General features: G+C 44.4%; 1 long non-coding RNA gene across 1 annotated transcript in view; it reads right to left on the bottom strand.

Moving 5' to 3' along the window:
• Positions 1 to 8,011: 8,011 nt before the first annotated feature.
• The window catches only part of LOC101929256 (uncharacterized), a 62,244-nt gene continuing 60,405 nt past the window's right edge, over positions 8,012 to 9,850 (bottom strand). Inside the window, exon 4 of the long non-coding RNA XR_001747405.2 lies at positions 8,012 to 8,050. This is a non-coding gene — a long non-coding RNA (uncharacterized LOC101929256). The remainder of the gene's footprint in view (positions 8,051 to 9,850) is intronic.

Genomic DNA, 9,850 nt, shown 5'->3' with positions numbered 1-9,850 from the left:
AACTTGCCTCAGGGGGTTGTCATGAGGATTAAAGGGGTTAATATATAGAATGGCTAGAGTACTAATTGGCTCACAGTAAGCACTAGATAGGGGCTAGCTATGATTGCAGAAATCCCTTTCTTCATCTTATAGGATACCAGAGTTGGAATTGCTAGACCTTTAAGGGTGCAATCCACCCCACCTCTTCGTTTCCCTGCCAGAATTCTATTCCAGACAAAAGTCTGTTTCTCTGCATCTTAAAAGTCTCTAAGAAAAGAGAGTCCACAAATTCCTCAGTTATCTGATCAGTAATAATCCTTCCTTCCACTCAGAACGTTTTCCTTATAAGTAAATTAACCTCTCTTCTGGAAATTAACGCCATTTCCTCTCATGTAAGCCATGCTAAGATAGAGAAGTGCTTTTCTCCTTAAAACAACTCTCCTATATTTAAGTGCTCTATTAAACCCCATTTTCTGGTTTTTCTTCCCCTGGAAAGAATAGGAATCAGTTACCTTTTCTCTGGGGCACATTCGTATTACCTACTTGACATGCCCTTGTTTCTTGCTTTCTTGTATTCTATAACATCACTCTTAAAAACCAAAGCCACAACTGAAATGAGTCAATTCTGACAATTTTTGTTGATGCCCCAGGTGAGGGAGAGATGCCTGCATAATTCTGGCCCATTTCACTGCTGCTTAATTTTGGTGTTATATATACTGTTTTCACGCCCATGGTCAAAGATACCAATAAATGGCTCCCACATCCCAACTACAGGGTGAGTTCTTGACCTTTTCCCATGTTTTACTGTTTTATTCTACTTGTCACTCTCCATTTCTGGATCTTAGGATACATTTGAGTCTGTCTGATATGCTAGAATCACATCTAAATTTGGACTCATTCTTTTTTTTTTTTTTTTTGAGATGGAGTCTCGCTCTGCCGCCCAGGCTGGAGTGCAGTGGCGCGATCTCGGCTCACTGCAACCTCCGCCTCCCAGGTTCAAGCGATTCTCCTGCCTCAGCCTCCAGAGTAGCTGGGACTACAGGCATGCGCCACCACGCCGGGCTAATTTTTGTGTTTTTAGTACAGACGGGGTTTCACCGTGTTGGGCAGGCTGGTCTTGAACTCCTGACCTCATGATCCACCTGCCTCAGCCTCCCAAAGTGGTGGGATTACAGGCGTGAGCCACCGCTCCTGGCTTGGACTCATTCTTAAATCTGAAGGGCAAGACGGTAAGTTTCTTGAGGCAGAACATTTTATTATTTATCTCATACTCCTCATGGTGCCTGGCTCAGAGAAGAGCCTGTGAATACACCATTAGAGACATTTTCTAAGTCACCTCTAACAATTTTCAGTGTTAGGGATTATTAAGACTAGACCAGAATAGGCCCCATAGTAAGAGTCTTTGGTAGGCTTCCCCTCTGCCATCTCTCCAAATGGACATGGCTGTGGAGTGTGTCTGAACGGGAACTCAGGTGGTGCGTGCCCACAGGGAAACATGGTGCTTAGATTTTCAGCCCAAGTATTATTTTATCTTAGAGTTGGAAATTCTCAAGAAGCCTTTGCAAAGCCCCACAAAGGGAAAACTTGATGTGTTCAGGACTCAGATGCCATTCTGATGAGCTCTTTGGAGAGATACGGAGGGGGAAAGTGGAACGTTGTGAAATCAAACCAACAATTACAATGTCTCGGAACATCAACGTGGTTGGAAATTATTGATTCAAGTCACGCTCTCCACCAGGCCACTGTCTGTGAGCAGTGTTCTTTAAAAAGAATTATACAGCCACTTACTAAGTATCTATAAGTCAGATTTATTTCCAGCTACTCCCATATGTGTCCTCTCCGCCCCAAATGGCTGGCCGTCCTCCCTGCTCTTGGCTTAGCCTCATTTCTGTGGCTTTGCTGAAGCTGCTTTCTTGCCAAGTAGGCCGTGCCTGTTCTCCAGTCTAGGGACATCCGACGCAGCATTCAAATCCTTCCTGAGTCCTCCTTTCTCACGTCTTGGTCTCTCCTTGTTCAGAGGTGCAAGTTTGGTCTTCCCAATTACATATCACTGAAGGTGAACCACAGTCTCCCCTTTTCTTCCATCCCTTAATTCCCAGCAAAGTTTAACGAAGAAGAAAGAGCTTCAGATCAGTGTAGTCAAAACCCCACCAGTTTCCAGAATCACCCAATGACATTTTTAAAAAGATCTACTGAGGCCAGACACAGCAGCTCACACCTAGAATCCCAGTGCTTTGGAAAGCCAAGACAGGACGATCGCTTGTGCCCACAGGTTAAAGACCAGCCTGGGCAATATAGCGAGACCCTGCCTCTACAATAAAAAATATGTTTAAAAAAAACTAGCCAGGTGTGGTGGTGCATTCCTATAGTCCCTGCTTCTCAGGAGTCAGAGGTGGGGGGATCGCTTGAGTCCAAGAGTTGAAGGCTGGAATGAGTTATGATTGCACCACTGCATTCTAGCCTGGACAACAGAGCAAGACCATGCTTCTTTTTCTTTTCTTTTTTTTTTGCGGGGGAGGGGGTGTGGTGAGGGGAACTGAGTTTCACTCTTGTTGCCAAGGCTGGAGTGCAACGGTGCCATCTCAGTTCACTGCAACCTCCACCTCCCAGGTTCAAGCAATTCTCCTGCCTCAGCCTCCCAAGTGCTGCGATTACAGGTGCCCACCACCACGCCTGGCTAATTTTTGTATTTTTAGTAGAGATGGGATTTCACCATGTTGGCCAGGCTGGTCTCAAACTCCTGACCTCAGGTGATCCACCTGCCTCAGCCTCCCAAAGTGCTGGGATTACAGATGTGAGCCACCTTGCCCAGCCAAGACCATGTTTCTAAAAAAATTAAAAAATTTAAAAAAGATCTACTGAATCAAAATTTCTAAAGATGAAACCCAGGAATCTGCTTTTTACAAAAGCTTTTCAGGGGTAAGTCTGAGAATAAGTCAAGTTTCAAGAACTACCAACAAGATCTGAGAGGAGTTTGTGTCAAGTCAAAATCTTGGTACCTAGATGGTGGAGCCCAAGAACCCTGGGTGTGGTCCCATGAATCCCAAAAAGCTTTCTTCCCAAGAAGCACTCTGCAAGGTCAAACCATTGGAGCCGTGGGCACATTTTGCTGCTATGATGCTGTATACACTGAAATAGTGGCTTTTTGCTCCCTGGAGATATTTACATTTTTATTTTTATAGCTACTGATTTTTATATCCTGCATCACATCTACTTCCAAACTAAATGCCACTGCTTTTATGAAGAGCACTTACCACTGGTCACCAGTTTTGTATTGAGAAAAGCAGGCTTGACTTGGCAACTCTCATTCTTTATCCCTCCTACTCTGAAAGATGGTGCTTCCTTGGCCAACACAGGGAACAGATTCTATTCTGCTTAGTGCTTAGCCGTGGTTTTGTTCATGACAAGCTCATCAGTTCTCAGAAAGCACAACCCCCGACAACTGTCATTACCACATGCATCCTTCTTTCCCAGGCAGGGTCTATTCAAGGGTGGTGTTGGGCTGGGTGTCCATGCATTTATTCAGCCATTGTCTAGGCTGTGGGCTCCAGGCTTTAGATTTGCTGTGATGCTTGCCTGCAGCCTTCCTAATCTGTGGCTTGAACTGCCCCATCAGCCACTAATCATGGGTCTTGGATACGCTTTAATATGTCCACATGACCATTTTTGTTGTTGTTGTTTGAAGGCACCAAATTTTACTTCCCATGTAATATCTTCTTGTTTTATTTCAAACTACTGGGATGATGTGATATCAATATCAATAAAACAGTTTATTGATAACCTAATACGTCTATGGCAATGTACTGGGGCACTGGGCCTTCAAAGATGAACAAGATAAGGATTTTGCTCTAGAGGGGGCCATATTCTGATGAAAGAGACAGAAAATCATTCAGAAAAAAAGCAATTTACAAGGCCAAACAGCAGACAGCAAGTACAAAAATGAATGGCCCACCACTAGCCCCTGTTTGACTTTGGAGGAAGGCTTGACCATGGAGTACTTGCAAACATCATGGGGAATCCACATAGCTCAGGGCCTGCTATACAGCAGGGGAAAAATAAGTACCTACCAAGTGAATACACAAATGACTAGATGATGCTAAGTTGTGTGAACCCCGAAAATTTGAGACAGGTCTCAGTTAATTTAGAAAGTTTATTTTGCCAAGGTTGAGAATGCGCACCCGTGGCACATCCTCAGGAAATCCTGATGACGCATGCCCAAGGTGGTCAGGGAACAGCTTAGTTTTATACATTTTAGGGAGACATGAGACATCAGTCAATATATGTAAGAAGTACATTGCTTCAGTCTGGAAAGGCGGGACAAACTTGAAGCAAAGGCAGGAAGACTCAAAGTGGAGAGACACCTTCCAGGTCACAGATAGGTGACAGACAAACGGTTGCATTATTTTGAGTTTCTGATTAGTCTTTCCAAAGGAGGCCATCAGATATGCATCCATCTCAGTGAGCAGAGGGATGACTTTTAATAGAATGGGAGGCAGGTTGGCCCTAAACAGTTCCCAGCTTGACTTTTCCCTTTAGCTTACTGATTTGGGGCCCCCAGATTTATTTACCTTTCACAGTTTTAAACTGTGCCCTGAAATATAGTAATGTACACTCAGAAAAGAAACAAACCACATACCACACACAACACACACACAGACACACATATTCTTCACCAAGGAAGCCTGAGTCTATTTTCCCAGAGAATAACATAAGGGAGAAATTTAGAAAAGCACACCCTCTTGTGAAAGTTAATCTTTATGGTATTGGCGGGAGTCACTTATTGAACAGTAACTAAGTTAATAGGACCTACCAGATATTGTTTATACTCAGTATATGGATTAAACACTCGTGGTGTAAATTTATTGATTCACAATATAACAAGGAGACAAGGGAGATGACCCTTCTGTCAGCTGAGCTATGCACAGAAACTACCTGATTTATTTCATAATCAACTAACTTATATCCCATCTCCTCCCAAAAAAGATTTAATGTCAAACTATTTACAACACCCAAGGTAGGAGGCAAGTTATTAAAAAGGTGAGAAATGGGACATCAAAAAAATGACAAGGCTGGGTGCAGTGGCTCATGCCTGTAATCCCAGCACTTTGGGAGGCCAAGGTGGGTGGATCACCCTGCAGTCAGGAGTTCGAGATCAGCCTGGCCAACATGGTGAAACCCCATCTTTACTAAAAATACTAAAAATTACTAAAAATTAGCCAGGTGTGGTGGGATGTGCCTGTAATCCCAGCTACTTGGGAGGCTGAGGCAGGAGAATCGCTTGAACCCAGGAGGCAGAGGTTACAATGAGCCAAGATCACACCACTGTACTCCAGCCTGGGCGACAGAGTGAGAGTCCATCTCAAAAAGAAAAAAAAATGACAAGAAGCTGAATTAATTGAGTCTCCTTGCAACTTTGGCTAAAAAGAAGTCACATGGGGCCGGGTGTGGTGGCTGATGCCTGTAATCCCAGCACTTTGGTAGGCAGAAGTGGGCGGATCACAAGGTCAGGAGATTGAGACCATCCTGGCTAATATGGTGAAACCCCCTCTCTACTAAAAATACAAAAAATTAGCCGGGCGTGGTGGCGGGCGCCTGTAGTCCCAGCTACTCCGGAGGCTGAGGCGGGAGAATGGCGTGAACCCGGGAGGTGGAGCTTGCAGTGAGCTGAGATCGCGCCATTGTACTCCAGCCTGGGCAACAGAGCAAGACTCCATCTCCAAAAAAAAAAAAAAAAAAAAAAAAAAAAAAAAAAGTCACACGGGTTAGTTAGAATGTAAGTTTTGGAAAGAGAAAAGAAGAAAACTTTCTCCTAGTCCTAATTTCAGAAGGAAATTATGTCATCGGGCTATTTCTCTAACCCTAGCCCCTTAATGACTTGCTGCTATCCCTATTTTTATGACTAGTGGGACTCTTACTACCAGCTAGGTAGCTAACTTTCTATGTGGTAGGCGTTGCATGAATTCCTATACACATACTTTAAAAACATTTAATCCTACACCTGTCCTGTGAGGGGTCCTATTGTCTCCTATTATCTTGCAGGCAGCCTTTTTTTTTTTTTTTTTTTTTTTTTGAGATGGAGTCTCGCTCTGTCGCCCAGGCGGGAGTGCAGTGGCGCGATCTCGGCTCACTACAAGCTCCGCCTCCCGGGTTCACGCCATTCTCCTGCATCAGCCTCCCGAGTAGCTGGGAAACTACAGGCGTCCGCCACCACGCCCGGCTAATTTTTTGGATTCTTAGTAGAGACGGGGTTTCACCATGTTGGCCAGGATGGTCTCGATCTCCTGAACTCGTGATCCGCCCGCCTCGGCCTCCCAAAATGCAGGCAGCCCTTTTTACCTGTAGCCTTCCTAAAGCAGCTGATGTTCTCCATGAGCAGGTTTTCTGCAGCCTGGGAATTAACATGTGGAGAGAGAGCTACTGCAAACAACCGGAAGCCTCCCCAGCAGCACATAAGAAAATCCTGCTCCAGAGACAACTTTTATCTAGAGAGAGAGGCAGGAACACACTGCTGTGTTCTGCCAAAGCAACTCAAGGACACTTAGAAGGATGTCTCAAGACTGATCAAGGGGCAGTGCCACTTCTGACCATTGGGGACATTGATTTTGATCAACCACTACCTTAGTTGTTTAGAAGCAAACATGGTGTGGAAGCCAATACGTTAGACTTGAAACCCAAGAAGTTATTTCCAGGCCTAGCTCTGCCATTGCTAGTGGTATAAATTTGAGCAGGTCACTTAACTTCTCTTAGCATCAGTTTTTTCACCTGGTCATTGTGGCAAGAAACAGCTTCACCATCTGCTATGCCGATAACATGGAAACTGTAAAATATTGAAAATGAAAGCTACAATATGTTATTGACATGGTTTGGATTTGTGTCCCCACCCAAATCTCATGTTGAACTGTAATCCCTAATGTTGGTGGAGGAGCCTGGTGGGAGGTGATTGGATCATAGGGGCGGACTTGCCCCCTGCTGTTCTCTTGATAGTGAGTAAGTTCTCACAAGATCTGGTTGTTTAAAAGTGTGTAGCACCTCCCCCATTGCTCTCTTTTCTTCGTGCTCTGCACATGTAAGAAGCGTATCCTTCCCTTTCACCTTCCACCATGATTGTAAATTTCCTGAGGCTTCCCCAGCCATGCTTCCTGTACTGTCTGGGGAACTGTGAACAAATGAAACCTCTTTTCTTTTCTTTTCTTTTTTTTTTTTTAATAAATCACCCAGTCTCTGGTATTTCTTTATAGCAATGCAAGAACGAACTAATACAGTTATTTAGCCCAAATTTTAAAATCCTACATGTTCTTCTTCCTCCATAGGCCCTAAGAATCACTAAAATTTCATATTATCTAGTTTCTGCTATTTTAATTTTCTTCTTCTTAATACTCTTTGCTGCCTCCATGCCCTCTTCCCTGTGCCCTAAATCCTGGTGATTGGCTGCCTCTCAGCCCCGACTCTTTCCTTCTTGTTATCACTTAGTATTACAAGACCCTAGATAAGAAAGGAAAGGAAAAGGATGGGAAGGCATATTAGTCTGCTTTCATGCTGCTGATAAAGATATGCCCAAGACTGAGTCATTTATAAAGAAAGAAAGATTTAATGGACTCACATTTCCACGTTGCTGGGGATGCCTCACAATCATGGAGGAAGTCAAAAGGCACATCTGACATGGTGGCAGGCAAGAGAGAGTGAGAGCCAACCAAAAGGGGAAAGCCCTTATAAAACCATCAGATCTTGTAAGACTTATTCACTACCATGAGAACAGTATGGGGGAAACTGCCCTCATGATTCAATTATCTCCCACCGGGTCCCTCCCACAACACGTAGGAATTACGGGAGCTACAATTCAAGATGAGATTTGGGTGAGGACACAGCCAAACCATATCAGAAGGGAATGGAAGAGTACTTATTGTTGTACAAACATCCTATACAAAAATTAGCCAGGCATGGCAGCACGCACCTCTAGTCCCAGCTACTGGGGAGGCTGAGGCTGGAGAATCACTTGAACCCGGGAGACGGAGGTTGCAATGAGGCGAGATCATGGCATTGCACTCCAGGCTGGCTGACAGAGAGATTCCATCTAAAAAAAAAAAAAAACTTTACAAAAACAAAGGCACTTTCATAAAAACCAATACACCTACCATCACATCACCTTCGCATATCAACTCCTCCTTCTCCTACCCCATTTCCAGTTTATCCATAGACATTTATGCTTCTAAATGGCTGTGATCACAGAGCCGATACATTGTCTGGTTCTGCTAGTTTTATTTATTTAACATTGCTGTAACTATTTCCTCAGTTGCTACATCCCTTCATAATTAACCCTGCTATTGGTTGTAAACTATTCCACGGGGTAAAATGTATTACGATGAAAATCATAATTTTCTTAGTGTTGGACATCGAGGTTTAATTTAATAAATAATGCCACAACAAATACTTTGCATACTTAGTCTTTTTCCCCTCTCATGAATTAGATAGAAAAGTGCGTATAATTTTTTTTCTAAGAGCTGACGAAATTTTCTAAATTCCCTGCAGGCTGAATATTTATCACCCCTTTTTGGTCCCTCTTTTCTTTACCTTGCTTTATTCCTTGTGGGATCTTCTGGTCCTTGAGGCAAGGATTCAGCTAGCTGCTGTTTCTTTTTTTTGAGACGGAGTCTCACTCTGTCACCCAGGCTGGAGTGCAATGGCTCGATCTCAGCTCACTGCAACCTCTGCCTCCTGGGTTCAAGCAGCTCTCCCGCCTTAGCCTCCTGAGTACCTGGGATTACAGGTGCCCACCACTACACCCAGATAATTTTGGTATTTGTAGTAGAGATGGGATTTTGCCATGTTGGCCAGGCTGGTCTCAAATTCCTGACCTCAGGTGATCCACCTGCCTTGTCCTCCTAAAGTGTTGGGATTACAGGCTTGAGCCACCACACCTGGCCTTTTTTTTTTTTTTTTTTTTTTTTTGATCAGCTGCTGTTTCTAATCATGACTTTTTCCATCAACAAATCTCTCTGAAAGCTGTTTCTTGTTCTCCAAAAAGGCCAGAAGAGTTACGTAGATGGCTTGCTAACACTTGCCTCATTGTAGTCAACTCTGTAGAAGTGATCTTGTCCAAAGCAAGAAGGGGAATTCTATCAAATAGCACAAAGCTCTGCCCAGACAGTCTCGTCTCCAGCCGACAGGTGTATGCTGGTTCTTTAACCTGGACCGGAGTGGTATAGAGAACTGTACCAATCAGGGTCCAACCAGGAAAATGGGATCTGCTCTAAACATTAAAATAGAGGAAATTTGGCTGGGTTTGGTGGCTCACACCTGTAATCCCAGAACTTTAGGAGGCTGAGGAGGGTGGATCACCTGAGGTCAGGAGTTTGAGACCAGCCTGGCCAACATGGTGAAACCCCGTCTCTACTAAAAATACAAAACATAGCCGGGCGTGGTGGCAGGTGCCTGTAACCCCAGCTACTTGGGAGCCTGAGGCAGGAGAATTGCTAGAACCCAAAAGGCAGAGGTTACAGTGAGCTGAGATTGTGCCACTGCACTCCAGCCTGGGCTACAGAGTGAGACTTCATCTCAAAAATAAGTAAATAAATAAATAAATAAAATAGAGGAAATTTGGTAAGTGAATTGGTTACACAGATGAAGGAAAAGCAGAGAGGTGCACTGGGGACAGTGAGGCAATGCAGAGATCAGACATAGCAGGAAGCCACTACCTCACCTCCCTTCGAGGCTGAAGGACAGAGCCAGAAACACTTGTCAGAAGCTGAGCCCAGGGGACCTGTCCCAGCAGAGCTCAAGTCCCAAAGGAGAGGACGTAGCCCTGCTGGAGACACTAACTGAGGTTGGGTGGGGAAGAATACCCTGGCTTCTCCCTCCCTCCTGCCTTTTCCCC

This window comes from Homo sapiens, chromosome 10 (genome assembly GCF_000001405.40).
Source record: "Homo sapiens chromosome 10, GRCh38.p14 Primary Assembly".
In the NCBI taxonomy this organism is placed as follows: Eukaryota; Metazoa; Chordata; class Mammalia; order Primates; family Hominidae; genus Homo; species Homo sapiens.
This window is presented reverse-complemented; position numbering and strand designations above follow the sequence as displayed.